At 65.6% G+C, this 24043-nt stretch overlaps 5 protein-coding genes and 1 pseudogene across 52 annotated transcripts, besides 15 other annotated features; 3 read left to right on the top strand and 3 right to left on the bottom strand.

The window, feature by feature from the left end:
- Positions 1058-1605: an enhancer, noted in NCBI's record as "H3K27ac hESC enhancer chr16:740279-740826 (GRCh37/hg19 assembly coordinates)". NCBI's record gives its function as "activates a minimal SCP1, AML or CMV promoter by ChIP-STARR-seq in naive H9 embryonic stem cells {active_cell/tissue: H9 hESC(naive)}" and the evidence as "EXISTENCE:reporter gene assay evidence [ECO:0000049][PMID:30033119]".
- WDR24 (WD repeat domain 24) lies at positions 1486-7262 on the top strand. 2 transcript variants are annotated; one of them, NM_032259.4, is made up of 9 exons: positions 1486-2724; positions 4145-4322; positions 4468-5140; positions 5698-5816; positions 5894-6015; positions 6101-6205; positions 6287-6627; positions 6708-6892; positions 6982-7262. In NM_032259.4, the coding sequence occupies exons 1-9, from the start codon at positions 2244-2246 to the stop codon at positions 7148-7150; spliced, it is 2373 nt and encodes a 790-aa protein (NP_115635.1). In that variant the 5' UTR covers positions 1486-2243; the 3' UTR covers positions 7151-7262. The 2 variants fall into 2 exon arrangements, with proteins under 2 accessions (NP_115635.1, XP_047290723.1); XM_047434767.1 differs by lacking the exon at positions 1486-2724 and adding an exon at positions 2796-4057.
- Positions 7121-7170: an enhancer, noted in NCBI's record as "active region_10212". NCBI's record gives its function as "activates an Ori minimal core promoter by ATAC-STARR-seq in GM12878 lymphoblastoid cells {active_cell/tissue: GM12878}" and the evidence as "EXISTENCE:reporter gene assay evidence [ECO:0000049][PMID:35858748]".
- Positions 7550-10214, top strand: JMJD8 (jumonji domain containing 8). Of its 8 annotated transcripts, none has more exons than NM_001323918.3 (9): positions 7550-7650; positions 7729-7818; positions 7975-8023; positions 8103-8199; positions 8286-8354; positions 8443-8562; positions 8650-8717; positions 8797-8926; positions 9010-10214. In NM_001323918.3, the coding sequence occupies exons 1-9, from the start codon at positions 7565-7567 to the stop codon at positions 9054-9056; spliced, it is 756 nt and encodes a 251-aa protein (NP_001310847.2). In that variant the 5' UTR covers positions 7550-7564; the 3' UTR covers positions 9057-10214. The 8 variants fall into 8 exon arrangements, 5 of the variants coding, with proteins under 5 accessions (NP_001310847.2, NP_001005920.3, NP_001310851.2 ...); NM_001005920.4 differs by having other exon boundaries at positions 8797-8931; NR_136650.3 differs by having other exon boundaries at positions 8286-8562.
- Positions 7571-7880: a silencer, noted in NCBI's record as "silent region_6941". NCBI's record gives its function as "represses an Ori minimal core promoter by ATAC-STARR-seq in GM12878 lymphoblastoid cells {active_cell/tissue: GM12878}" and the evidence as "EXISTENCE:reporter gene assay evidence [ECO:0000049][PMID:35858748]".
- STUB1 (STIP1 homology and U-box containing protein 1) lies at positions 9083-11474 on the bottom strand. 2 transcript variants are annotated; one of them, NM_001293197.2, is made up of 7 exons: positions 11200-11474; positions 10534-10821; positions 10281-10446; positions 10004-10091; positions 9808-9864; positions 9603-9719; positions 9083-9520 (listed from the first exon to the last, which is right to left on the bottom strand). In NM_001293197.2, exons 2-7 carry the CDS (start codon positions 10673-10675, stop codon positions 9395-9397), a joined length of 696 nt encoding a protein of 231 aa, NP_001280126.1. In that variant the 5' UTR covers positions 10676-10821; positions 11200-11474; the 3' UTR covers positions 9083-9394. The 2 variants fall into 2 exon arrangements, with proteins under 2 accessions (NP_001280126.1, NP_005852.2); NM_005861.4 differs by having other exon boundaries at positions 10534-10732.
- Positions 9520-10107: an enhancer, noted in NCBI's record as "H3K27ac-H3K4me1 hESC enhancer chr16:731777-732364 (GRCh37/hg19 assembly coordinates)". NCBI's record gives its function as "activates a minimal SCP1, AML or CMV promoter by ChIP-STARR-seq in primed H9 embryonic stem cells {active_cell/tissue: H9 hESC(primed)}" and the evidence as "EXISTENCE:reporter gene assay evidence [ECO:0000049][PMID:30033119]".
- Positions 10108-10695: an enhancer, noted in NCBI's record as "H3K27ac-H3K4me1 hESC enhancer chr16:731189-731776 (GRCh37/hg19 assembly coordinates)". NCBI's record gives its function as "activates a minimal SCP1, AML or CMV promoter by ChIP-STARR-seq in naive and primed H9 embryonic stem cells {active_cell/tissue: H9 hESC(naive and primed)}" and the evidence as "EXISTENCE:reporter gene assay evidence [ECO:0000049][PMID:30033119]".
- Positions 10108-10715: a biological region, named in NCBI's record as "H3K27ac-H3K4me1 hESC enhancer GRCh37_chr16:731189-731776".
- Positions 10666-10715: an enhancer, noted in NCBI's record as "active region_10211". NCBI's record gives its function as "activates an Ori minimal core promoter by ATAC-STARR-seq in GM12878 lymphoblastoid cells {active_cell/tissue: GM12878}" and the evidence as "EXISTENCE:reporter gene assay evidence [ECO:0000049][PMID:35858748]".
- Positions 11396-11605: a silencer, noted in NCBI's record as "silent region_6940". NCBI's record gives its function as "represses an Ori minimal core promoter by ATAC-STARR-seq in GM12878 lymphoblastoid cells {active_cell/tissue: GM12878}" and the evidence as "EXISTENCE:reporter gene assay evidence [ECO:0000049][PMID:35858748]".
- Positions 11886-11995: a silencer, noted in NCBI's record as "silent region_6939". NCBI's record gives its function as "represses an Ori minimal core promoter by ATAC-STARR-seq in GM12878 lymphoblastoid cells {active_cell/tissue: GM12878}" and the evidence as "EXISTENCE:reporter gene assay evidence [ECO:0000049][PMID:35858748]".
- On the top strand, positions 12107-13366 carry STUB1-DT (STUB1 divergent transcript; annotated as a pseudogene). Its single transcript, NR_136337.1, has 4 exons — positions 12107-12280; positions 12518-12675; positions 12855-12948; positions 13077-13366. The product of NR_136337.1 is annotated as an STUB1 divergent transcript (transcript).
- Positions 13616-16213, bottom strand: RHBDL1 (rhomboid like 1). Of its 5 annotated transcripts, NM_001278720.2 has the most exons (8): positions 16055-16213; positions 15387-15548; positions 14988-15212; positions 14765-14913; positions 14496-14608; positions 14325-14425; positions 14185-14245; positions 13616-14103 (listed from the first exon to the last, which is right to left on the bottom strand). In NM_001278720.2, the coding sequence occupies exons 1-8, from the start codon at positions 16091-16093 to the stop codon at positions 13832-13834; spliced, it is 1122 nt and encodes a 373-aa protein (NP_001265649.1). In that variant the 5' UTR covers positions 16094-16213; the 3' UTR covers positions 13616-13831. The 5 variants fall into 5 exon arrangements, with proteins under 5 accessions (NP_001265649.1, XP_047290817.1, NP_001265650.1 ...); XM_047434861.1 differs by lacking the exon at positions 14325-14425; NM_001278721.2 differs by lacking the exon at positions 14988-15212.
- Positions 16139-16188: a silencer, noted in NCBI's record as "silent region_6938". NCBI's record gives its function as "represses an Ori minimal core promoter by ATAC-STARR-seq in GM12878 lymphoblastoid cells {active_cell/tissue: GM12878}" and the evidence as "EXISTENCE:reporter gene assay evidence [ECO:0000049][PMID:35858748]".
- Positions 16387-16921: an enhancer, noted in NCBI's record as "H3K4me1 hESC enhancer chr16:724963-725497 (GRCh37/hg19 assembly coordinates)". NCBI's record gives its function as "activates a minimal SCP1, AML or CMV promoter by ChIP-STARR-seq in primed H9 embryonic stem cells {active_cell/tissue: H9 hESC(primed)}" and the evidence as "EXISTENCE:reporter gene assay evidence [ECO:0000049][PMID:30033119]".
- On the bottom strand, positions 17710-23801 carry RHOT2 (ras homolog family member T2). Of its 34 annotated transcripts, none has more exons than XM_047434843.1 (19): positions 23730-23801; positions 23473-23531; positions 23315-23396; positions 23185-23228; positions 22278-22331; positions 21709-21761; positions 21527-21635; positions 21327-21428; positions 21111-21209; positions 20884-20995; positions 20681-20801; positions 20103-20187; positions 19882-20024; positions 19703-19800; positions 19500-19630; positions 19318-19395; positions 19059-19181; positions 18754-18956; positions 17710-18404 (listed from the first exon to the last, which is right to left on the bottom strand). In XM_047434843.1, exons 7-19 carry the CDS (start codon positions 21581-21583, stop codon positions 18278-18280), a joined length of 1479 nt encoding a protein of 492 aa, XP_047290799.1. In that variant the 5' UTR covers positions 21584-21635; positions 21709-21761; positions 22278-22331; positions 23185-23228; positions 23315-23396; positions 23473-23531; positions 23730-23801; the 3' UTR covers positions 17710-18277. The 34 variants fall into 34 exon arrangements, 30 of the variants coding, with proteins under 30 accessions (XP_047290799.1, XP_047290800.1, XP_047290801.1 ...); XM_047434844.1 differs by having other exon boundaries at positions 23473-23526; XM_047434845.1 differs by having other exon boundaries at positions 20884-20992; positions 23473-23526.
- Positions 23285-23374: a silencer, noted in NCBI's record as "silent region_6937". NCBI's record gives its function as "represses an Ori minimal core promoter by ATAC-STARR-seq in GM12878 lymphoblastoid cells {active_cell/tissue: GM12878}" and the evidence as "EXISTENCE:reporter gene assay evidence [ECO:0000049][PMID:35858748]".
- Positions 23360-24041: an enhancer, noted in NCBI's record as "H3K27ac-H3K4me1 hESC enhancer chr16:717843-718524 (GRCh37/hg19 assembly coordinates)". NCBI's record gives its function as "activates a minimal SCP1, AML or CMV promoter by ChIP-STARR-seq in naive H9 embryonic stem cells {active_cell/tissue: H9 hESC(naive)}" and the evidence as "EXISTENCE:reporter gene assay evidence [ECO:0000049][PMID:30033119]".
- Positions 23475-23574: a silencer, noted in NCBI's record as "silent region_6936". NCBI's record gives its function as "represses an Ori minimal core promoter by ATAC-STARR-seq in GM12878 lymphoblastoid cells {active_cell/tissue: GM12878}" and the evidence as "EXISTENCE:reporter gene assay evidence [ECO:0000049][PMID:35858748]".
- Positions 23635-23974: a silencer, noted in NCBI's record as "silent region_6935". NCBI's record gives its function as "represses an Ori minimal core promoter by ATAC-STARR-seq in GM12878 lymphoblastoid cells {active_cell/tissue: GM12878}" and the evidence as "EXISTENCE:reporter gene assay evidence [ECO:0000049][PMID:35858748]".

Genomic DNA, 24043 nt, shown 5'->3' with positions numbered 1-24043 from the left:
GGAGGTTGCTATGAGCCGAGACTGCGCCACCTCACTCCAACCTGGGCGAAAGAGCAAAACTCCGTCTCAAAAAATTTTAAAGAGACCGGGTGCGGTGGCTCACACCTGTAATCCTAGCACTTTGGGAGGCCAAGGCGAGTGGATCACCTGAGGTTGGGAGTTCGAGACCAGCCTGACCAACATGGAAAAACTCCATCTCTACTAAAAATACAAAATTAGCCCAGTATGGTGGCCCATGCCTGTAATCCCAGCTACTCGGGAAGCTGAGGCAGGAGAATCGCTTGAACCCAGGAGGCGGAGGTTGCGGTGAGCCAAGATTGCACCATTGCACTCCAGCCTGGGCAACAAGAGCGAAACTCCGTCTCAAAAAGTTTTTTAAAAAAAAGAACGAGAGCAACTGGTTGAACAGGTGTGTCAGGCACTGGGCATTCGGTGGGGATTGAGCCAGAATGTGATTCCTGCCTTGGTGGAATTCACACTCGTATGTGACCGACAACAACCAGTAAACAAACGAATGGGTGGTGACAAGTGCCGTGGAGGCCACAGTGATGGAGAAGCCCATTAGGGCAGTGGTCAGGGAGGTCCGCTCTGTGGAGGAGGCATCGCACGCACGTACAATGTCCCTGAGGCAGGAAAGGGCTTGGTGGGCTGGGAATGGGGGTGGAGGCTGCCATGGCTGGAGGTGGGCAGGGGAAGGCGGAGGCCAGGAGTTGGGGTTCATTCACAGCATAGTGGGAGCTGCCAGAGGCCTCAGGCAGAAGACCTGGTGCCTGACTTCTGTGCGGGTTTCTGATCAAAGGGGAAAGACGGACCCAGGAAAGCCGTTGGGAGGCTGCTCCCGAGGTCGAGGAGTGAGGAAGGAGGGGAAGACTGGGGGCACTCGGAACTTGTCTAGGGATGACCAGATGTCATGATGGACCTGGGGATTAAAATAGGTGATGGCATTAAAATACTGAAATTGAGACTTAAAAAACAGGCCAGGCGCGGTGGCTCACACCTGCATTCCCAGCACTTCAGGAGGCTGACGCCAGAGGATCGCTTGAGTTCAGTAGTTTTAAGACCAGCCTGGCCAACACGGTGAAACCCCGTGTCTACCAAAAATACAAAATTAGCCAAATTAGCCGGGCGTGGTGGCGGGCGCCTGTAGTGCCAGCTACTTGGGAGGCTGAGGCGGGAGAATCGCTTGAACCTGGGAGGTGGAGGTTGCAATGAGCCAAGGTCGCGCCACTGTACTCCAGCCTGGGCGACAGAGCGAGACTCCGTTTAAATAAATAAATAAATAAACCAATCACACAAGCACAGCACCGCAGCGCAATGGCAACGCCCAGGGCGGCCCGCAGACCCCAATCCCGGGCCCCTCCTGGCCTCTGCCAACGCAGCTCCCTGACCCGGAACTTTCGTGGTGTCGGGCGAGAGTTTGTGCCCACTTCCTGAGAGGGATGGGTAAGAAGAGGACCACTTCCGGCGAGGGACGGGAAAGACAGCGGCTTCCGGCGCGGCGGTTCCGGACAACCGTGCGCTTTTAGTAAAAGATTGGGGTTCGCGCGGGGGAGAAGGGCTGCCCCGGGCCCTCTGGTTCTCGTCCCGCAGCGTCCGCTCCCCCGCGCCACTGCGCCGCTCCCAGGAACCCTGTACTCCGGGGTCGCCGGCTTCTCTCCTGCCTCCGGTCCCGCCAGACACCTCGAGCTCCTTAAGTAGCTCGGTCCTTGACGTCCCTCTGGGCCCTTCCCGCGTCTATCGCCTGAGTCCCCGGGCCCCTCTAGCCCTCTGTTCCCTCCCCTCTTTTGTTCCTCCCTAGAGCCCCGCCGCCCTCAGGGCTGACAGTGTGGACGGCGGGAGTCTCCTCGCTCCCCTGCTGGGATTGACTGACCGAGCGTTTAGTGACTGCCCAGATCTGGCTGATGGGGGTACCGAGAGGTGGCCTGGGCCGGGAATGTCCAGCTAGAGTCTTCCGTGGAAGTCAGACATGAAACTGACAGGCCTAAGGGAAGCTAGGAAGTCCCCTCACCGCTCAGCCAGGGTGATGGGCTGGACTGACAGACTCCAGTGAATTTGAGCTTGCCTGTCAGGCTGATTGGCTGATAGACAGCCCTGGATTGGCTCACTAAGACTGACCAGCCCGGGACCAAGCAGTTCTGGGGTCCCAACCTGGGTGGAAGGTCTGAACTGATGACCCACCCAGGCTGACCAGGCCAGCCCACCTCACTGACCTCCTGACCCCTGACCTCATCACCTGTGCAGCCATGGAGAAGATGTCCCGTGTGACCACAGCCCTGGGTGGCAGCGTGCTGACAGGCCGCACCATGCACTGCCACCTGGATGCTCCCGCCAATGCCATCAGTGTGTGCCGCGACGCAGCCCAGGTGGTCGTGGCAGGCCGTAGCATCTTCAAGATCTATGCCATCGAGGAGGAACAGTTCGTGGAAAAGCTGAACCTGCGTGTGGGGCGCAAGCCTTCGCTTAACCTGAGCTGTGCTGACGTGGTCTGGCACCAGATGGATGAGAACCTGCTGGCCACAGCAGCCACCAATGGCGTGGTGGTCACGTGGAACCTGGGCCGGCCATCCCGCAACAAGCAGGACCAGCTGTTCACAGAACACAAGCGCACGGTAAACAAAGTCTGCTTCCACCCCACCGAAGCCCACGTGCTGCTCAGTGGCTCCCAGGATGGCTTCATGAAGTGCTTTGACCTCCGCAGAAAGGACTCTGTCAGCACCTTCTCGGGTGAGGCCACAGAGGCAGGTCAGGGCAGGTGGGCGTCTCTGCCGGTGCCCAGCCTGTCCATGCAGGCGGAAAAGGGCTCCGTGCATCAGAGGCCCTCAGGATCACTCCCAGAGGGCTTCCTCAGGGGGAAAGGGAATCGGCAGGGGAGGGATGGGGCAAGTTGGGCTGGACGGCATGTGAGCCAGGGCAGTCAAGTGGGAAGAGGCAAGAGATGAGACCAGCAGAAATTGAGGCTAGGTGTGGGGTGAGGGAGGGCAGAGCCCCAGCGGTCTCCCAGCCAGCCTGGGTGGTGAGCAGAGAGCCACTGACTCCCTTCCCTCATGTCGGAGCTACAGAGGCTGCCTCATAGCAGGAGGTCTGCCAGGACTTCCAGGTTTCCTGGCCCAGGGAGGCAGAGGAGGTGGGTTTGCTGTCCAGTGCCCTGGGGCCCTTTTCCTAACAGGCCCAGCTCCCCGATGGCTGCCCTGAGCCAGCTCTCCCTTGTTCACCTGGAGGAGACTAGGTATGAAGCACAAGGCGGAGCCCTCAGGGGCCTCAGAGAATTTTCAGGCCACTTAAGACAGATCCTGGCAGGGCGCGGTGGCTCATGCCTGTAATCCCAGCACTTTGGGAGGCCGAGGCAGGCCGATCACGAGGTCAGGAGATTGAGACCCTCCTGGCTAACACAGGGAAACCCCATATCCACTAAAAATACAAAACAAAAAATTAGCTGGGCGCAGTGGCACGCGCCTGTAATCCTAGCTACTTGGGAGGTTGGGGCAGGAGAATTGCTTGAACCCGGGAGGTGGAGGTTGCAGTGAGCCCAGATCGTGCCACTTGCACTCCAGCCTGGGTGACAGAGGGAGACTCCGTCTAAAAAGACAGATCCTGAGCTGCCTCCCCTGCAGGGCCCTGGAGGAAGGTTGGGTACCGCCCTTGAAGTTTCTTGGTGTGGTGGTCCCCTAGGGTGGACCTGGGCCCTGAGTCATCCAGTCCTTTGGGGCTGACCAGGCAGTTCCAGCTCCAGGTGAAGGGACTGGGCCAAGGCTGGGGCACCCTCCTCAGCACCTCCTTGGGCCTCCCACAGGGCCACGGGAGTGGGCGATGGCTGGGTGCGTTCCTATTCTCCCAGTGCTCAGCTGCCGCATCCTGAGGCTGCACCACAGCTTTGCTCATGGACCGATGCAGGATGCAGAATCTACGGCAAATGACGCCCGGGAGTATGTGTTACAAATCACGTGGTGTCCTGCTCCCGGGCCCAGGCTCTTGTGGCGACTCTGTGTGGCTGCTTCCTTGGGCAGATCTTGGGGATGTCCACTCTACCCTCTGGGCCTCTGTTCTGGGCCACAGGCAGGTGTGTGACACCATGCCACAGCTGTTCTGAGGGCGCACCTCATGGGCCAGCCCCGTCACTTCCCCTGCATCGACCTCCTGCCTGCAGGCCAGTCGGAGAGCGTGCGGGACGTGCAGTTCAGTATCCGGGACTACTTCACCTTCGCCTCCACCTTTGAGAACGGCAATGTGCAGCTCTGGGACATCCGGCGTCCCGACCGGTGCGAGAGGATGTTCACAGCCCACAACGGACCCGTCTTCTGCTGCGACTGGCACCCCGAGGACAGGTGTGGCATGGGGGTGCAGGGGCAGTAGGTTGACAGTAAGCTCTCACTGCCTCAGATCCATGAGACAGTCCGGAGCAGCAGAGCGGGGGGGTCCCCTCTCTGCAGGAAAGGCCACTGAGGGTTTGGGTGGACCTTCTTCCCACAGGGGCTGGTTGGCCACTGGAGGGCGCGACAAGATGGTGAAGGTCTGGGACATGACCACGCACCGTGCCAAGGAGATGCACTGTGTGCAGACCATCGCCTCGGTGGCCCGTGTGAAGTGGCGGCCAGAGTGCCGCCACCACCTGGCCACGTGCTCCATGATGGTGGACCACAACATCTATGTTTGGGACGTGCGCCGGCCCTTCGTGCCAGCTGCCATGTTTGAGGAACACCGAGACGTCACCACGGGAATTGCCTGGCGCCACCCCCACGACCCCTCCTTCCTGCTGTCTGGCTCCAAGGACAGCTCGCTGTGCCAGCACCTGTTCCGCGACGCCAGCCAGCCCGTCGAGCGCGCCAACCCTGAGGGCCTCTGCTACGGCCTCTTCGGGGACCTGGCCTTCGCCGCCAAGGAGAGCCTCGTGGCTGCCGAGTCGGGGCGCAAGCCCTACACTGGCGACCGGCGCCACCCCATCTTCTTTAAGCGCAAGCTGGACCCTGCCGAGCCCTTCGCAGGCCTCGCCTCCAGTGCCCTCAGTGTCTTTGAGACGGAGCCAGGTGGCGGCGGCATGCGCTGGTTTGTGGACACAGCTGAGCGTTATGCGCTGGCTGGCCGGCCACTGGCCGAGCTCTGTGACCACAACGCAAAGGTGGCTCGAGAGCTTGGCCGCAACCAGGTAGGTAGGTGCTGAGCCTGGGGGTCCCTGGGCCACGACCTCAGGGCAGGGGCTGGTTCCTCCGTCAGCTGCGCTCACCCCACCTCAAGCTCCGCAATGGACTCCAGCCAGTCGCACCAACAGGCCTTGCCTTGGTAGCTGAGGGTGTCAGGATCACACAGGGCCAGGGCTCCAGGGTGGGCCAGACCCAGGACTGTCCTCTGAGGGGCGGGGGTCTCGGGAGTCGTGTGGCTCAAGCTCTCTGTTCTTCCCCCCTTGCTTCTGGAGCTCTCCAGGCACCAGCAGCGGTGGAGCCGTGAGCTGCCGTTCCCATGCCCATCTCTAGCTGCCCCGCAAGTCCCCACTGCCCAATTCTGTTTTCCTCTGTGCTGCTGTAGGGCGGGGACCGGGGTTTTTGTCTTTCCCATGAGCCTCAGCTTTCCTACCTGGGGTGGGCCTGGACATTGGGTACTGAGGGCAGCTGAATGCTGAGGGCTTGTGACTGTCCAGGCAGAGAGGGACCTGCATGGGGTGCTGGGTGTCCAGGACGCCCACAAGTGACCAGTGCCCGCCCCTAGGTGGCGCAAACGTGGACCATGCTGCGGATCATCTACTGCAGCCCTGGCCTAGTGCCCACTGCAAACCTCAACCACAGTGTGGGCAAGGGTGGCTCCTGTGGCCTCCCGCTCATGAACAGGTAGATGCCGGGGGCAGCTCTCCCCAGGGGCTGGGGCTGCTCGAGCCCACCCACCCATGGGCCCTTCCTGCCCCCAGTTTCAACCTGAAGGATATGGCCCCAGGGTTGGGCAGTGAGACGCGGCTGGACCGCAGCAAAGGAGATGCACGGAGCGACACAGTTCTGCTCGACTCCTCGGCCACACTCATCACCAATGAGGGTAGGCTGGGGTGGGTAGGGGTGCTGATGGGAGAGGGGTGGGGGTGTCCCAGACGACCCTGAATGCCCGCCCCATTGTCGGGCAGATAACGAGGAAACCGAGGGCAGCGACGTACCTGCCGACTACCTGCTGGGTGACGTGGAAGGTGAGGAGGACGAGCTGTACCTGCTGGATCCGGAACACGCGCACCGTGAGTGGGGGTCCGGGCAGGGTGGGGTTCAGAGGCGGATGGAGGACAGACTCAGAGCCTCCGCTGGTCCCTGCCTTCCAGCCGAGGACCCTGAGTGCGTGCTGCCGCAGGAGGCCTTTCCGCTGCGCCACGAGATCGTGGACACGCCTCCCGGGCCCGAGCACCTGCAGGACAAGGCCGACTCCCCGCACGTGAGCGGCAGCGAGGCGGATGTGGCCTCCCTGGCCCCCGTGGACTCCTCCTTCTCGCTCCTGTCTGTCTCACACGCGCTCTACGACAGCCGCCTGCCGCCCGACTTCTTCGGCGTGCTGGTGCGCGACATGCTGCACTTCTACGCTGAGCAGGGCGACGTGCAGATGGCTGTGTCTGTGCTCATCGTCCTGGGTGAACGGGTGCGCAAGGACATCGACGAGCAGACCCAGGTGTGTGGTGGGCGGGGCCTCCCCCCTGCAGCGCCGCCCCTGGCACCCAGATCCTGACTGCCGGGCGCTCCCTCCCCCAGGAGCACTGGTACACTTCCTACATCGACCTGCTGCAGCGCTTCCGCCTCTGGAACGTGTCCAACGAGGTGGTCAAGCTGAGCACCAGCCGCGCCGTCAGCTGCCTCAACCAGGCCTCCACCACCCTGCACGTCAACTGCAGCCACTGCAAGCGGCCCATGAGCAGCCGGGGCTGGGTCTGCGACAGGTGGGGCAGTGGGGTCGGGAGGTGGGGCAGGGGCCTGCAGGCAGCGCAGCAGCCCCCGCTGAGGCACCCTCCCTCCCGCCCGCCCCCAGGTGCCACCGCTGCGCCAGCATGTGTGCCGTCTGCCACCACGTAGTCAAGGGTCTCTTCGTGTGGTGCCAGGGCTGCAGCCACGGCGGCCACCTGCAGCACATCATGAAGTGGCTGGAAGGCAGCTCCCACTGTCCCGCAGGCTGCGGCCACCTCTGCGAGTACTCCTGACGGGGCATCTGCTGGGCTTGCCCGGGCGGCCGCGTGCAGAACCCCGCCTGGTCTTGTGCCCGAGACGGGCGGAGGCTGGAACTTGAGACCTCAATAAAGGAAGTAGAGCCGCTGTCGGCACTGCGTGTCACCCCATAGCGCGGCGGGCTCGCCGTAGGCCCGCGGGGCAGCTGGCGGGCGGGGGCTTTCGGCGGGGTTGTCGCCATGGTAACCGGCGGCGCCCATAGTCGCTCTCGGGGCGGCCTTCCCAGTGCCTCCCGTAGAGGCCTCTTCCGGGGCGGGCCAAAGGAGGTCACTTCCGGGGTCCGTCCCGGTTCCCGGCCGTTGCCACGACGACGAAGCTGCCGGCCAATGGCTGGCGGATGGGCCCAAGGTTCCCGGCGTGCAGCGCGGCTGCCTGAGGGCGGCAGGCTCATGGCGCCGGCGTCGCGGTTGCTCGCGCTCTGGGCGCTGGCGGCTGTGGCTCTACCCGGCTCCGGGGCGGAGGGCGACGGCGGGTGGTGAGCGGCCCGGGAGGGGCCGGGCGGTGGGGTCACGTGCGGCGGGCGGGGCGCGGGCTGACCCAGCTGTGCCCGCAGGCGCCCGGGCGGGCCGGGGGCCGTGGCGGAGGAGGAGCGCTGCACGGTGGAGCGTCGGGCCGACCTCACCTACGCGGAGTTCGTGCAGCAGTACGTGCGCCCCTGATCGCGGAGGTCGCGTCCTGTTCACCGGCCCGTCTGCCCCGACCGCCCAAGGCCGCCTTCCCCTGACCTCGCGCGCACGCGTGGGGCTGGGGCGGCGAGGCTGGCGGTCCGGCCTGGCCGCGACTCTGCCCTTCTTTCCAGGTACGCCTTCGTCAGGCCCGTCATCCTGCAGGGACTCACGGACAACTCGGTGAGCGCGTGCCCGTCCGTCCCCGGCCACTCTCGCCCGTGCTGGGCCCGGCCACTAAGTCCCCTCCCCGCCCCCGCAGAGGTTCCGGGCCCTGTGCTCCCGCGACAGGTTGCTGGCTTCGTTTGGGGACAGAGTGGTCCGGCTGAGCACCGCCAACACCTACTCCTACCACAAAGGTACGCGGCCTCACCCCTGGGGCCCGCCCATTTGCCAACACCGGGGCGGCTGGACCAGACGGTCCTGACCCGTCTCTTTCCTGCAGTGGACTTGCCCTTCCAGGAGTATGTGGAGCAGCTGCTGCACCCCCAGGACCCCACCTCCCTGGGCAATGGTGAGGCAGCCCTAGGCGGCGGTAGGGGGTGGGGACGCTTGGAGTCTCCAGGTGCCAGGATCCCTGTCCCCGCCGTCTCTGTTGGCAGACACCCTGTACTTCTTCGGGGACAACAACTTCACCGAGTGGGCCTCTCTCTTTCGGCACTACTCCCCACCCCCATTTGGCCTGCTGGGAACCGCTCCAGCTTACAGCTTTGGAATCGCAGGTGGGTGCTTCTTGGGACTGGGAAGGACTGAGGCTTCTGTCGGTGAGTACAAAATGGGTTGGTCACCAGGTGCTCATAACCCCACAGGAGCTGGCTCGGGGGTGCCCTTCCACTGGCATGGACCCGGGTACTCAGAAGTGATCTACGGTCGTAAGGTCAGCACGGGGTGGGGGTTGAGGCTTGGGACTCGCTGACCAAAACGGGCAAGGGTGACACTGCTGCTCATGCCCCCAGCGCTGGTTCCTTTACCCACCTGAGAAGACGCCAGAGTTCCACCCCAACAAGACCACGCTGGCCTGGCTCCGGGACACATACCCAGCCCTGCCACCGTCTGCACGGCCCCTGGAGTGTACCATCCGGGCTGGTGAGGTCAGTGGCTGGCAGGAGAGGGCCAGGCCAGGCTAGAGGCCCGCAGCTAATCTCTGCTGCACCCCCTTCCTCCACCAGGTGCTGTACTTCCCCGACCGCTGGTGGCATGCTACGCTCAACCTTGACACCAGCGTCTTCATCTCCACCTTCCTCGGCTAGCCAAAACAGCTGGCAGGACTGCCGGTCACACACCAGCACGTCCCACCTCGTGCTCACGGATTTTATTACACAGATAGTGGCGGCAATGGCCTCAGCCCAGCCCACCCTCACCTGCTTTTCCAGCCCACAAAGGGGGACGATCACGGCCCAGCAAAAGCGATGCTGAGAGGGGAAACAGTCCAGAGTCCAACAGCAGAACTTGGGGGAAGCGGTCGGGGTGGCCAGGAACATAAACTATGTATAGGGGCCGGGGGCTTCTGCCCAGGGCTCCCCTGGACCAGGACGCCAGGTAGGGCAGGGAACCTCAGTAGTCCTCCACCCAGCCATTCTCAGAGATGAATGCGTCAATAACCTCCTTCATAGCCAAGTTGGGGATGAGCTGTTCCTGGGTCAGGGGGCTCCGGGTCACGGGGTCAAAATGACCCACACGCTGCAGTGACAAGAAGGGCAGAGGGCAGTCATGGGGCCCAGGACCATGCCACTGGCCCTGCTCCCCCAGCCGCAGGCCTCACCTGCAGGTGCTCCTCGATGTCCTTGCGGTCGTAGGTGATGCCACTGGGCGTGATGCACGGCTCCCGCATCAGCTCAAAGCTGATCTTGCCACACAGGTAGTCGGGGATGTCTCGCTTCTGTGGCACAGGGGCACACGGTCAGAGGCTGAAAAGGGGCACTGCACGAGCACCTGCCAGCCATCGGCAGCAAGCGACACACACTCACCTTCCTCTTCTCATCCACCTGAGAAAAAAGCTCGTCCATGTCCGCCATGTACTTGTCCTGTGAAGAGTTGAGTGCTGTGCTTGGGGGAGACACCCCACCTCCCTCCTCCATGGGGCACAGACCCAACACAAGGCGGGGATGCTCCCACGCCACGTGCACACACACAGACCCACATGTGGGTGGGGGGCACCCTCACGTGCTTGGCCTCAATGCAGGCCTGCTGGGCCCGGACGTGGCTGTCGTCCTCATCACCCTCGTGGTTTCGCTGGCACTCTTCCAGCTCCCTGGGGGTTGACCAGGAGCCGGTCAGAGATGGACCTGGCCAGATGTCTGACCACACCCCAATCTCAGAGCTAACATCCACACTTCCCCACATTTCCTGCTTGCCAGTAAAGCCTTCGATAAACGCTTGTGTCGGGAGTCGGTGATTCAGAATTATCCCAAGACAGGGCGGCCTGGGGTGAGGGTCCCACCTCTCACGCTCCGCGGCAATGAGCCTGGAGAGGTAGGAGTGCAGCTCGCTCTCCTGGTGGATGCGCCGCTCCTCAATGCTGTTCCAGCGCTTCTTCTTCGCGATTCGAAGAGCGCTGGGGATGTCGTCCCCGAAGTTCAGCCGCTGCTCCTTGGCCAGGCTGTAAGCTGGGGAACGGGGGCTTCACGTCACTCTCTGGCCAGTCCACCCGCCTGGCCCCAGAGGCCCCACAACCGGGCAGCTTGTCAGCCAACCTCGCTGCAGATTGGCGATGGCCTCATCATAGCTCTCCATCTCCAGCTGGCACTGCCCCAGGAAGAAGTGCGCCTTCACAGACTGCCCGTCCAGCTCCAGGGCGCGCCGGCAGTCGGCCAGGGCCTGCTCGTGCTGCTGCATCTTCAGGTAGCACAAGGCCCGGTTGGTGTAATACACGGCCACCAGCGGGTTCCGGGTCTAGGGACCAAGGCCGGGCCAGCCGCATGAGGGCGTAGGCTCAGCGTGCCCACTCTGACCCACGGCCCGTCCCAGCTTCTGCGCTCTGGCTAGAATCAAGAAACTAGGTTTCTCAGTTGTCAAAGCCCCTGGGTCCAAGGATCTGTGCACAGTGGAGTACTGGCTGAGCCTATCCGCTTGATTCCACTTGGTTTTGTAAAGTTTTCCAAATCTTTGGAGAGTCCGGGCTTAGGACCTGGGGTCCTCAAGGGTCGAGGGCCCCTGCCCTCCCCCCACCCGGCCGGCCTCCATCCAGCATCGCACCCTCGTTCTCCGGCACCCGGCGCTGGGCTCGAGAACCACGGCTGGGCTTTGGGAGCCGAGGACACGCCCCGAAGAGGAGCCAGACCCTCGGTGGGGCCGGCCGGGCCCGGGCCCGGCCCTCCCCGGTGCCACCGCCGCCGCCCTCCCCGCGCGGGCGCACTCACGATCGCGCGGCCGTAGCAGGCCGCCGCCTCCGGGTACTTTCGGCCCACGAACAGACGATTGCCCTGCTCCTTGAGCTCCTGCGCGCTCGGGCTCTTCTCGGGGCTTCCGCCGCCAGCGCCCAGCCGTGCGCCGCCCTCCTTCTCCTCCTTGCCCTTCATGGCGCCGCGCGGCACGGCCTGGGCTCCGCTCCCAAGCTCCGCGCCTCGCGGCCCAGCGCCCGCAGCCGGAGCCCCGCAGCCCGAGCCCGCGATCCGCTCGGGCCCGGCCCAGCTCCGCCGCCGGAACTTCCGGCCGGGGGCGGGACCAGCGGGGACGCACGCGTGGGGGCGAGTGGGGCCGCGCGTGCGCCCAACCAGCCTGGACGGGGACACTGGGCCCGCGACGTCGGGGGCTGGGAGGAACGCTCCAGTTCCCTGTCCCCGCGCTCTTAAGGGTGGGCGTTCGCGTAGGCCCTGGCCTGCCCTGCTGAGGTCTCTTCGGAACCCGCCTCGGCGGCGGCCGCCACACACATTCGACTTTCCCAGTGAGATGCCTCACTTGCTTCGCTGAGGGCGCGCTCCCGCAACAGCCTGTCCCGACCACCTGGGGTTCCGCCCCTGTCCCAACGCGCAGAGACCCCTCCCCCGGCAGCCGGCCCCATCCAGAGGCCCCGCCCCCAGCAGCCGGCCCCATCCGCAGAGGCCCCGCCCCCAGCAGCCGCCCAATCCAGAGGCCCCGCCCCCAGCCGCCGGCCCCATCAGCAGAGGCCCCGCCCCCAGCCCCATCCGCAGAGGCCCCGCCCCCAGCAACCGCCCAATCCAGAGGCCCCGCCCCCAGCACCCGGCCCCATCAGCAGAGGCCCCGCCCCCAGCCGCCGCCTCCCGCCCCTGCGCGTGAACGTAGCGGCTTCCCACGCGCTGTGGGGTGTGAGGACCCCAGTCGCTGGGCTGCCATTCTGGAGCGCCACGAGAGGTGCTACGGGCGAGCGCGAGCCCCCGAGGGCGGCTGGAAGCCCCGGACTGTTGGTAGAGTGGAAGGGGATAGAGATCGGTGGGGCGAGCGTCCTCCGTGGCCAGTCCTCCCCTCACCGCCCTTCCTCAGGTATCGGGAAGAGTTGCCAGCGGCCATCAGGGGCAGAGCAGAGAAGCATGTGACAGGGAGCTGGAGCGGCTGCTGGCCTGGCAGCTTGACTGTGAAGGGCGGCCCGCCCCGAGGGCAGGGCCTCCGTAGCGCGGGTCTTCATTGGGGCGTGGCATCGGCGGGGCGGGTGTCTCCAGTGGGGGCGGGGCCTCCCTGGTGGGTCCAGCACCCCAGGCACCCTGACCTGGCCTCCCACAGAGGGGCGCTTCCGGCCACGTCTGCAGCAGCTGGTGGCCACCAATCCCCCTGAGCTGGTTGTGCACTGTTCGACCGCCACCTTCTGCCTCCTGCCAGATGTGGGGGCTGCAGTCACCGAGCTGTGTGCCCTCTGCGGTGTGGGCCCACCACAGCCTCGGGTGAGTTGGGTGGGCACGACTTGGGTACATAGGCGTTCTTGTCTGTGAAGCGGGCAGTCTGGGCCCTTGCGTGTCGCTAGGAGCAGGAACCATAGGGCCCTGGGCTGCTGGGAGCAGGGTCTCCCAGAGCTTGTCCTGATGGGGTGTGTCTGGCTGCTTCTCCTCGCTGTTCACAGCAGTCCTGGCAGCTGGAGCTCCAGAGATGGAGGCCTTCATGTCAGATGAGGCGGTGGCCACAGTGCCCGGCTGGCCGGCCCCACAGTACACCCTCAGGTACTACCTGCTGTACCTGGGCCAGGTTCAAGAGCGGGCCACAGCTCTGAGCCAAGGGGAATGAACTGTGTGTGGGCAGGTTGGGGTGGCCCGTGCCCCTGGGCCTGAGTCCGTGTGCCCCTCCCTAGCCAGTGCCTCAGGACAGTGGACTCCCTACCTAGTGGAGACAGCACTGTGGACCTGGGCTGTGGGGCAGAGGCTGTGCCCAGACCTGCTGCCCAACCTTGGCCCCAGCCTGGCCACCCACGAGGATGCTAGGCCAGCCAAGAAGCATGGAACCCAGGCCGAGTAAACTTGGCCATGGCCCAGGCCTGCTCACCTGCCACAGAACCTCAGGCCTCCGGGTCTCACTGGACGGCAGGGAGGCTGAAGAGGAGGCTGGCCACTACGGGAGCTCAATAAACACTTCCCAAACTCACGCCTGATCACACACCCGGCCTGACCACACACCTGGCCTGACCACACGCCCGGCCCCCAGCCATCCCGCGTGCCCCCAGCTCCCACAGACACAGCACCTGTGGCCCAGGAACAACTCCCACGCCTGACCCCAGGTGCAGAGATGCACAAGGAGGGAAGTCCAGGCCCCCGTGGTGGGGAGGGCCGTCGCGGTCTGTGCAGCAGGTGTGGGGGCCCTGACGAGTCTCCAGAGCCCGGGACAGCCCCCTGGTGCTGTGTAAAATATTTATTAATTATCCAAAAAGGCTCAGACCGCAAGTCCTGGGAGTGGGGGGTGGGTGGCTGGGACAGGGCCTCCTTTGAGGCCACCCACACCCAAGGGGCACAGCAGCCCTGAGACGTCCGTTCACAAAGGGCAGACGTGAAGGCCCCTGGTGGGCGGCCACCACATGCCCGAGCCCTGGCCTGTGCAGCCTCAGGTAGCCGGTCAGGGCGGTGGGGGGATGTGGGCGCCCAGCAGGTCGTAGGCGAAGACGTTCCAGAAGACGGCGAAGAGCAGGAAGGTGCCGTAGGCCAGCAGCACCACCCACCAGCCGCACTGGTCCCGCAGGCGCTCCTCGTAGCTCCGCAGGATGGTCAGGCCCATGCTCACCCCCACCACCGCGCCTGCCAGGTGCGCCATGAAGCTGGGCTGTGGGCCCGAGGCGGGCAGCGGCGGGGAGAAGCGCAGCCACACGGCCCGGCCCACCTCGGAGCTCACTGCAGAGGGACGCGGCAGGTGGGAGGTGCCCTGGCTGCAGGCTGAGAGGCCCCCCGGCCCTCCCCCCGGCCCCTACTCACTGCACACCAAGGCCAGCACCATCCTCAGCAACTTGTAGGGACATCTCATCCCAGCCCAGTTCTATGGGTGTGTGCAGACGAGAAGTGGTGAGGCTCACCTGGGGCCCCTCCCCACGCCCCCCACCGGGCAGGCCCGTTACCATGACAACGTTGGCCAGGTGTGCCGAGCACAGGGCGTAGACCCCGCCGGAGCCTCCCACCACCGGGGCCCGCATGTCGGTGATGGAGACGGTTAGGGAGCCTGTGTGAGCAAGCGGCGGGTGAGGGTGCAGCCGGCCAGGGCAGGGGGCGGGGGTGCGCGCCTGCCTCACCTGCCAGCACGCCTGCCAGGTAGAGCAGGCTGATGCGGAGCAGGCCGTGCACCATCTCCAGGGGCACCCCGATCATCAGCTGCAGGAGGGCGTTGAACCCCAGCTGCTCCAGCCTGGCCACAGGGAAGCAAACGGGTACGAAGGGTGGGGTCAGCCATCCGGCCCCACCCCCAGCCGTCACCTCAAGTTGCCGCACCTGCCTTGCGGCTAAGCCTTTCTGATGTAATGGCAGGTTGGGGCGGGGCTCACCGGGCAGCAGTGCTACTCACCCAACGTGCATGAACATGTAGGTGAGGAAGCGCCAGGCGCGGGCACGGTGCCCGGGGTGGTACACAAGGGGGCTCTTCATGTACTCGGGGTGGTAGGTCTGCAGCACCCACTTGTTGAGGCGGGCCCCGTAACACAGGAACACGATGATCTGGGGACACGAGTGTTAGGCTGGTCATGGCCAGGAGCGCGGGAGGCTCCCGGGGCAGCGGCCGGGGGGCCCACCTGGGCAAGAGTGACCGAGGCCATGAACACGGGGGGTGGGCAGCTGCGGTGACGGTAGAAGTACCAGCGGCGGTCCACCTCACAAGGCAGGATCTCGTAGGCCACGTAACGCACAAACCGCTTGTAGACACCTAGGCCTGGCTCATCCAGCGGCCCGTCCCGGGGCAGTGCCCGCTGTCCGTTAGCAATGGCCCGCTTGAAACTGCTGGAGCGCTTGCTGCTGATCTGGGGGCAGGGGCCTGAGTGTGGGCCACGGACCTCCCCATGGCACCCCTGCCTGTGAGGCTCACCCAGCTCCCCGCATCCACAAGCCCCCCACCCACCGCCGTGAGGAGCTGCCTGCCCGCCTCCTCTGGCCAGGACACCGTGCCCCTGCCGCCTGCCCACCGTGGCACTGACCAGGTCCACCAGCTCCTGGTAGCAGACCTGGCCCTGCTCGTTGCTCTGAGCCAGGGCCACCAGCATGTCCAGCTTGGCCGGGTCCAGGGGCAGCTCATGGCTGTGCACCAGGCCAGTGAAGGTGTCCGCACCGATGAAGCCTGTGTTCTCGGGGTCCAGCTGCTGCAGTGAGGAGCCGCCAGCCAAGGCCTGAGTGCGGGCCCGACCCCTGGACCAAAGGGCTGGGCCAGGCTGGCTGGGAGCATCAGGCTCAGGCTCCCAGCACTTTTGGGACAGGGGCCCCGTGCCTGTCTGTTCCCTGGGACCCTGCTTGATCCCAGGAGCTGGCAGGGCACTGGTGCCTGGGTCCCAGTCCTCCAGCTCCTCAGTTGTTCCCCCGTCTTCCACCCTACCCATCCTGGAAAGCGAGGGCCAAGGTCCAAGACCAGCCAGCTGCCCGCCCTCCCTCCCTCCCTCCCTCCCTCCCCCCGACTCTCCCTTCTCCAGCCAGGAGCTCTGGTCCAGTCAGTCCTCTCCTGGGGTCCCAGACACACGGACCAAGGTCGTGGAGGGATGAGGTAGGTACCGAGCGGGGCTTTCGGGGAGCTCGGTCCCGCACAAGCTCAGCTCAGCGGCAGGAGGGCCGCATTGGGGGCGGTGCCAGCTCCCCAGACCACCCCCCGACGCACCTGCTCCTGGATGAGCTGCAGCAGCGAGCTCCTGTCCATAGAGCCTGGCCGGGGGCCGGGGTCCGGGGTCGGCGGCCGCGGCCGGGAGGGGCTGCTCTGCGGACGACTCCGCTCCGCCCCAGCCGGCCCGCTCCGCCCGCTCCGCTCGGCGCCGCGCTTGGGCCGCGTCACCGAGTCGCCCGCCTGCCCGCCCCTGCCGCACACGCCGCCACGCGCGGCCAAGACACGCGCGCACCCTGCACGCGGACGCACACCCCGGACAGGAACCGCCTCCAGCTAGCACCGCGTCTCAGCGCCGGCCCCCACCCCCGCTCTGGCGCAGCTCCAGCACACTGGACTACCTCCACGGCAGCCGCTGGTAAATGGAGTCACGGGGATGGGGGGCACCTAAAACCCCCCATGCAAGACCGTTCGCCCTCTCACAGCCTTCCCGGGCTCAGGCCTGTGAGGATGCCACCTCTTCCAGGAAGCCTTCCCTGACCACTGCTTGCTCCCCCTCCAGGCTGACCCAGTACTCCCTGCGGTTCATGTTGCCACCGGCTGGAGCTCCCTGCTTGCAGCAGACACACCCCCTCCCCCCGCAACCCCCCACCGAGCGCAGCAGCAAGGAAGTCCCTCGTCCCGCATGGCCACTACAGCCGCCTCTTAGGAGGAGGAAGACGCTGCTGCAGCCGCCTTGGCTCTGACGACCAAGCCCAGCCCACTCGTCCACACCCTGGGCTGGAGGCCCCTGACCACTCTTGCAACTCCATGCAGGACAGCAAAACCTCCCGCCCTAAGGCGGCGCCAGGGCTGGGCACAAGGGGCATTCCAACACAGAGCAGAACCCCCAGGGGGCAGGGCTGCAGTTGGGATGAGGGGACCTGCTCCTGGGAAGGCGGGCCAACCCCTCCACAATGGAGGTGACAGATAAGACACGTGTGACTATGGCAGCCCCTGCAAGGGCCACTCAGAGGGCTTCTCCTAGGGTTGCAGTAGTCCCAGAAGACAGGCCGTGGGGGTACAGCGGGCTCAAATACCATCAGTCGGGAGGGACCTCAGGGGCCAATGCCACAAGCTCCAAGGCAGGGCCCGTGTGGGCCAGGACTTGGGAAGGGGCCCCACCTGCCACTCCCTAAAGGCAGACATGGGAGGGGGGGGACCAGGCCTTCTGATACTTGTCCGGGTGACCTTGGGAAGGCCACGCCCTGGGTCCCGAGAAGCAGGCATCTGGGCTCAACTCCCAGCCCGTCCCTCCCTCTGGCCCATCCTGCTTCCCTCAGGTCAGGGCCCCAGGGTCACCCCGTTCTGTGGCAGGCAGTGACCACATCTGGTCACACAAGCCCAGGTTCTCGGCGCAGCTCAGCCAGGCTGGCAGGACGCTCTGGGGAGTGAGTGGGCAGTGCCAGGGCACACTGGACCCTGAGAAGGGGTCAGTCACCGGGGAAACATCTCAGGCACCGGCGCCCCCCAGTCCATGCCGGGCGCGCACCGTCCTCCCGCAGTGGGCTCCCACTCCCAGACCGCAGGACCTCCAAGGACACTGGGCTCCCAGGCCACAGCAGCCCAGAGTGGACCTTCCAGAGGCCATATGCACACGCCTGAGACCTCAGAACAGTGACCCAGGAATGAAAGGAGGGGTGGCGTTTCCAGCCCACATAAAGACAAACAACACATTCTAGGTTGAATCAAAGCAAGTTGTCTTCAGAGACTGGGATCCGAGATAGAAAACACACAGTGAAGTTTAATCAGGAACCCAACCTCCGGTCCTCTGCTACAACCACGGAAACGGCTCCAAACTTGAGGGGGGACCCCCCAACGCCTGCTTTTGGCCCAAAGCTCTGCCTTCCAGCCCTCCTCATACCCACTGGCCACCTAGGACCAGGAAAGGGGGGTAGAGCCCTGAGAATTCTGGGTCTGGGGTCACCAGCTCCCACACCTGTGCTCCCCGGCCCCACACACATGATGCCCAGGGGTGGGCAATCCCTGACAGCGGTGGCCGGCACTTGGGAGCTCCTGCTCAGCCACCTGCCACGGCCCACCCTGGGGGTCCGGCAGGAGCCAGGGCAGTGCATGGCAGCATAAGGCCCCGCTGCAGATCGACTGCCTTCAGAAACAAAAAGTCCCGGCGCAAAGGCGTTCCCGGAGTGGCAGCCTGGCCTGCACCCCAGCTGTGCTGCCCCTGCAGAGCCCCAGCAGCGAGGCACACCCAGGTCAGGGGAGGGGGCTTGGGTACCAGGGGCCTCACTGGCTCTTCACCAGGACCCTGTAGAGTGAGAAGCTGAGGACTGCGGCCACGGCGGCCCCGACAACCCCCAGCAGCCCCCGGAGCCAGAAGGAAGAGGGATGCAGCTCTGCGTGGACCAAATGTCTGCAAGAGAGAAGAATCATCTGCAGATACCTCAGGCACATGCCCCCAGCTTGCTGCTGGGCACCCTCCCATGTCCTGGACTCACAGGGCCCCACAGGCGGGGATCCCAGACCAGAGGCACAGCCGGTGGAGGCCAGGCCCTGGAGGGACATGCCTGGGCACTGCCTCCCTCTGCCACACAAAGCTCCACCCCGCCACTCTGGCCCCAGTTCCAGGCCTGACGCCACTGCTGCCCACTGCTCGGATGACAGACACTGCTAGTCCCCAGTTCCAGGCCTGACACCACCGCTGCCCACTGCTCGGATGACAGACACTGCTAGTCCCCAGGGCTGCGCTACTGGGTACCCACGGGAAGGCGGCCATGGTGGCGAGCTGGGTGAAGATGGTGGTGCTGGGCTCGGCTGGGCCAGCACAGGAGAACGGCACGGGAGCGGGTAGCCGGTGCTTGCGGCAAAACTCGGCCGGTGATGGGCCAGACACCGCGACACCTTCGGGCAGGTCGGCCTTGGAGGAGACAAAGAGGCAGGGGGTCTGCCCGTCCATGTAATGGTGCTGTGGGCAGAGAGTGGTATGAGGTACAGTCCTGGGGTGGCCGAGGCACAGCTGGAGGGACAGACCCTGCCCCATGGCCACGTGGCCCCTGCAGGGCCCCACCTTGTAGACGCTGGCACAATGTGCAAAGGACTTTGGGTCACTGCCATCAAACATCAAGCAGGCAACGTCACAGGTGGCGTCCAGCGATGTGGCCAGCAGACCATCTGTGCCCACCTCACAGAGCTGGGACAGACAGCGGCCTTAGGAAGGGTCCCTGGGGCTCGGTCCCCCTAGGGCCATGCTGGGCCAGATCTGCCAGGCAGGCCTGGGTGTCCCCGGGTCCACCCTCGGGCACAGGCCGCGCCGCCCCAGCACTCACGATCAAGTACTTCTCCTGTCCATTGACCTGCACCGTGTCGATGGCGTAGCCGGGAGGCTGCTCCCTCGTGTCCTGGTGCTGAGGGAGGTGAAGTCCTGACACTCGCTGGCTGCAGTGCCCCCCAGATTGCCCTGCCCTGCCCCTGGAGCCCCTGGGGTGGTGGGGGAGTCTAGGGTGCTTACCCCCAGGCCGCGGCCGAGAAAGGCCTGCAGGAAGGCAGACTTGCCCACTCCACGGGCCCCTACCACCTTGCACAGGAGGACGCTCCGCTGCGTCTGTCCCTTCTCCTGGTCCAGCCTCTTCTCACGAGTGACTGTGAGGATAGACACGGGTTAGGGCAGCTGCCAGGATACTGGGCCCAGGCCCAGGGAGGGTGGGTGCCTACCTGTGATGGCATGGGCCTGGTCCTGCTCACAGAGGGTGGGGTAGCCCAGGTAGCCTAGGTGTCCAAGGCAGCTCCGGACGTCCAGGTAGGTCACCAGGCTGGGGGTGGGCGGGAGGCAGGCACAGTGTTATGGTGGGGAGGGTGGTGCGGCAGGCGGGCATGGTGTGGGCCGCACTTACGTCCACTGGCAGAGGTATCCGTGCAGGGGCAACCGGCCGGCCTCTGTGCGGACTGTGCGTGGGAGCTCGGGGCCCCAGGGCGCTGCTGGGAACACACTGAAAAGGCTTTGCAGCTCCACGGGCGAGAGGGCGCCGTCGCGGTCCTGCAGAAGGAGGGATGTGGTGATGTGTGTGCCGGGGAGGGGGCGGGGGCAGGGGCAGGGGACTCGCCATGCTCTCACCTGGTCGTGCTTCTCAAACACTCTCTGCACAAACTGGTAGCCAAGGTGGTTGAGCTCCGTGCTGCAGCCGGGGGGCACGTGGATCCTGCAGGGAGGCCACAGCCCGTCTAGCTCCCAGGAGACTCTGCAGCACCACGCTCAGCCCATCTGTCACCCTGCCAGCCCCATCGGTGCAGCCGGACCCTCCCTACAGGACCCAGAGGCTCCTGTACGCCCCCGACCTTGCAGCTGCGATAGGGGAGGAGGGTGCCCACCTGGCTCCAGCACGTGGGAGGCCTGGCTGAGGCCCACAGGCCACACCCCAAGCTGCCGACCCCAGCAGGGTAAACAAGCCACGCGAGCGGGGTTGGCAAAGGGCCAGCCCCCCCACCCCCCGACTCAGAGCTCTGTGGATGCTGAGGGGTTCAGGGCACAGCCAGGCAAGGGCACGACCCCAGATGGCCTGCTGAGCGAGACCTTCACTGACCCTCAGGGAGGGCAGGCCTCAAACCCCAGCGTCACTCATGGAGGGGAGAGATAGTCGGCAGTCAGCTCCTGACCCTCGGGGAGGGCAGGCCTCAAGCCCCGGCATCACTCACAGAGGGGAGAGATAGTCCGCAGTCAGCTCCAGGGCATCGCTGTAGCCGAAGCGCCGCAGGATGGTCCAGGTGGTCTCGTGCCGGCCGCGCTGGATGAAGAGCGTGTTCAGGAAGAGGAAACCTGCACCGAGACAAAGCAGGGGGAGCACCAGGCACAGCCCCCTCCCCACACTCCCCAGGCACAGGCGGGCACCCGGCCTCACCATCCAGGGTCAGCCGGTCCTCCCGCACGCCGCCCGCCACGTTCCTGCACACCACCGTCTTCACGTCCTCCAGGGCCTGCGGGGCCAGGGGGTGCCCAAAGCAGGATTTCTGCTTCCGAGAGAACGTTGTTGGGAGTCAGCCAGCCACCCGGAGACGACCCGTTCCAGTCACTAACGGCAGCGGAGGTTCAAGGGGGCTGGGCACCGAGGGTGGGGCAGGGGCACACCTGGAAAGCGTTGAGCTCTTCGTCACTGAGCGCCTGGTCCAGGTCCTGATCTGAGAGCCTGAAGATGCGCGTCAGCGCCTGGGCGCACGCGGGCCTCAACTGTGGGGATGTTGGCTCAGCACCCTCAGGTGACCCACGCCGACCTGCCACACCGCCCCACCCAGCACCCCCTGGGCCCCTGGGGAACCAGCGTGCGGGGCCCCAGCCGATGCTCACCTGCTTGGCCTCAGGGTCATAGAGGGGGGCTGTGGGATGCAGGACGGCCTTCTGGGCGTAGTAGAACAGCTCTGAGATGTTCCTCAGGTTCTTGGCCGAACACTGGGAAAGTGGGAACAGCCTCAGGGAAGTGCCCCGAGGAGGGCACCGACTGAGAACACAAGGAATGAAGGAGGCGGCCCTGCCTGGGACCTACTCACCTCCACGCAGGTCTCAATCTCGGGAAACTGGCTCATGATGGGGAGCACGGCCTCCATGGAGCTCCCCGACCGCAGGTCTGACTTGTTGCCCACTAGGATGATGGGCACCCTGGGTTGAAGGCCCATGGTCACCAGGGGCAGGGGAGCCAGGGGTCCCAGCCCCTTCCACATCCCCTCATTACCTGGGCCCCTGCGTGGTCCCCCCATTCACCAGTGGGATCCACTTAGTTCGAATCTGAAAAGCAAAGCCTGGCTGTGAAGTGAGGCTGCCCGCGGGCACATGGCTCCCAGCTGGAGCATGAGCCTGGCTGGGGGAGAGCAGAAGGGGGAGGTCAAGGCCCACTGAGGGCCCAAGTCCCGGCCACAGGAACAAAGCTGGTGGGAGAAGGCAGGCAGCAGGTGCAGCCTCATCTGTCTGACCCCAATGGCTCCCAAACACCCCCAAGTCACTGGGGCCCAAGCCTAGGGCCGCCCCCAACGCAGGCCCTCTGCGGGTCCCCCCCCGGGGGTTTGGAAACTGGGGAAGAAAGAGGACTGCCGGCCTCAATGGCTCAGACTGCGGGACGCCCCAGACCCTCTCAGGGGAAGTGGGATCACAGGAGAGGGCCGGGTGACTCCACGTCAGGCAACTCCACGTCAGGCTCCCCAAAATGCTGTGAGCGATGGCACTGGCCACGGGTTGGGTGAAGGTCCACCTGGGCCACCACCGGCCACTGTGTCTCTGCTGTTGGGGTCTGCACTGAGGGCTCACCTTCTCAATGGTGGCCTCCTCAGAGACGTCATACACCACACACACCACGTTTGCCTGAGGGAACAGTGATGAGGTGTGGGTGACAGGGCTGCTGGCTCACCACCGACGACCCTGGCCGTTCCACGCCATCTCGAGGCTCCAGGAGGCCCCAGAAGCTCACAGGTAGCATGGGTGCAGCTCTGAGGCCGGGAAAGCCCAGCCTTCCCTAAAACCTGCCTCCAGCCTGGTGTTGGCAGAGCAGGCACTCCCCAGTGTCACACTGGGAGCTGCTGCTGAACCCTCAGAGAAGCCTCTTCCCCGCCCACTGCCAGTGCAGGGACACCAGGCCCCAGAAGCATAACTGTGGTCAGCAAGACCCTTGGAGCAGAGGGCTCAGGACAGACACGGCCACACCTGCAACCCAACACCCTGCAAGACAGCCGCCGCCTTGGCCCCTGCCTCCCCCCTCGCTACAGACAGAGTGACAGGACCGCAGTGAGGGGTGCCAACAGCAGGGGCTGCCCTGGGTGGCTGTGGCCTGTGCCCTTGCCTGGAGATGTCCCCGGCACACGTGCTCTGGTACTGGGAGCTCCGGGTGCCCGGAGGCCGGGACGGTGGGCTGGAGCACACAGCACGGGGACGTGGCGCACACAGAGCCCACAGGAAGAGCAAACGCTGCTGCCACCCCGGCAGGAGGGAGGGAGAGCCCGCGGGGAAGGGTCCTGTTATCCCTGGAGCACCACTGGACTGAGCGGTGCCGGCTCCCAGCGGGGTGCGCTGTAGGGGCCCCGACAACCCTCAGTGCGGAGGTCACAGAATTATCAGGGCCAAGGACACCCGGAGCACCTCGGTCCAATCCCCCAGGCTGCGAAGCGGATTAGGCCGAGCCCGCGCCCAGCCCCTCCCTCGTCCCGCGCACCACGGGTACCTTGTGGATCTCCTCCCGCAGCTCCTCGTCCGTCTGCTCGGCTTCTAGGGGGACAAAGAGACTCCACTGCGGACCCAGCAGGCCCGCCGGACCGCTGCGGGCCGGGCCCCCGGGAGGCTACGGCCGCTACCTGAGTAGTCCACGATGTGGGTGGGCACCTTCTCCGGGGTGACGTCCGCGGGGATGGTGATCTCCTCCGCGCGGGGAGGGACCTGCAAGGGACCCGCGCGCTCACCAGGGACCCCCGGCTGGGCCCGCTCCCACCCCCGCGGCGGGCGTGCCCCTTACCTCCTCGGGGAACTCCTCGCCCACCAGGGACAGGATCAGCGACGTCTTCCCCACCTGGGCTGCGCGGGGCGAGGCGGTCAGCGCGAGGGCCAAGGTCACGGCGCCCCCCGACCCCCGAGACCCTCACCCCGCCTCACGGCCGCCGCAGCTCCGAGACCCCCGGGCCGGCGCCTACCCTCGCCCAGTAACAGGATGCGCACGTCCCGCCTCATAGCTGCCGCCCGGAGCCGCTCCCCGACCCGGAACCCGGCCCCGACCTGGTCCTCAAGCCTTTCGCTCTGCCCCCGCGCCCGCCCCGCACTTCCGGTTCTCGGCCCCGCGCTGTCCCCACACTTCCGGCCCCGCCCGCACAGCCGCACCAGCGAGCCGGGCGGGCCAGAGCGGACAGGCTGTGCGGCGCGCCACCGTGTGGACGCGCCGGCCACGGCGGACAGCGCAGGGTCCTGGCGCCCTGGCAGGCCGAGCGGCCATTGCTTCACGGCACCACAGGGGCCTTGACAAACAGCCGATTAAGGGACGGGCAGAGGCTGAGCTCAGGCCAGGAGTGACCAGAGACAGCCAGTGCAACAAT

Source organism: Homo sapiens, chromosome 16 (assembly GCF_000001405.40).
Source record: "Homo sapiens chromosome 16, GRCh38.p14 Primary Assembly".
Lineage (NCBI taxonomy): Eukaryota > Metazoa > Chordata > Mammalia > Primates > Hominidae > Homo > Homo sapiens.
Note: the sequence above shows the minus strand (reverse complement) of the source record. Positions and strands in the feature narration are given on the sequence as shown.

Coding starts and splice junctions, on each gene's coding strand:
- JMJD8 (NM_001005920.4), top strand. CDS start 7,565: ATGGCGCCGGCGTCGCGGTTGCTCGCGCTCTGGGCGCTGGCGGCTGTG. Junction 8,563..8,649: donor TTACAGCTTTGGAATCGCAG/GTGGGTGCTTCT, acceptor ATAACCCCACAG/GAGCTGGCTCGGGGGTGCCC. Junction 8,932..9,009: donor GTACCATCCGGGCTGGTGAG/GTCAGTGGCTGG, acceptor TTCCTCCACCAG/GTGCTGTACTTCCCCGACCG.
- STUB1 (NM_005861.4), bottom strand. CDS start 11,358: ATGAAGGGCAAGGAGGAGAAGGAGGGCGGCGCACGGCTGGGCGCTGGC. Junction 10,733..11,199: donor CCTGCTACGGCCGCGCGATC/GTGAGTGCGCCC, acceptor CTTGGTCCCTAG/ACCCGGAACCCGCTGGTGGC. Junction 9,865..10,003: donor CCTGCATTGAGGCCAAGCAC/GTGAGGGTGCCC, acceptor AACTCTTCACAG/GACAAGTACATGGCGGACAT.
- RHBDL1 (XM_017023849.2), bottom strand. CDS start 15,782: ATGGGTAGGGTGGAAGACGGGGGAACAACTGAGGAGCTGGAGGACTGG. Junction 14,914..14,987: donor CCTCGGTCACTCTTGCCCAG/GTGGGCCCCCCG, acceptor TCGTGTCCCCAG/ATCATCGTGTTCCTGTGTTA. Junction 14,609..14,764: donor TACATGTTCATGCACGTTGG/GTGAGTAGCACT, acceptor CCCTGTGGCCAG/GCTGGAGCAGCTGGGGTTCA.
- RHOT2 (NM_001352275.2), bottom strand. CDS start 23,684: ATGAGGCGGGACGTGCGCATCCTGTTACTGGGCGAGG. Junction 22,332..23,184: donor TGCGGGAGGAGATCCACAAG/GTACCCGTGGTG, acceptor CTGTTCCCTCAG/GCAAACGTGGTGTGTGTGGT. Junction 21,210..21,326: donor ATGACCCTGAGGCCAAGCAG/GTGAGCATCGGC, acceptor ACATCCCCACAG/TTGAGGCCCGCGTGCGCCCA.
- WDR24 (NM_032259.4), top strand. CDS start 2,244: ATGGAGAAGATGTCCCGTGTGACCACAGCCCTGGGTGGCAGCGTGCTG. Junction 2,725..4,144: donor CTCTGTCAGCACCTTCTCGG/GTGAGGCCACAG, acceptor TCCTGCCTGCAG/GCCAGTCGGAGAGCGTGCGG. Junction 5,141..5,697: donor GAGAGCTTGGCCGCAACCAG/GTAGGTAGGTGC, acceptor GCCCGCCCCTAG/GTGGCGCAAACGTGGACCAT.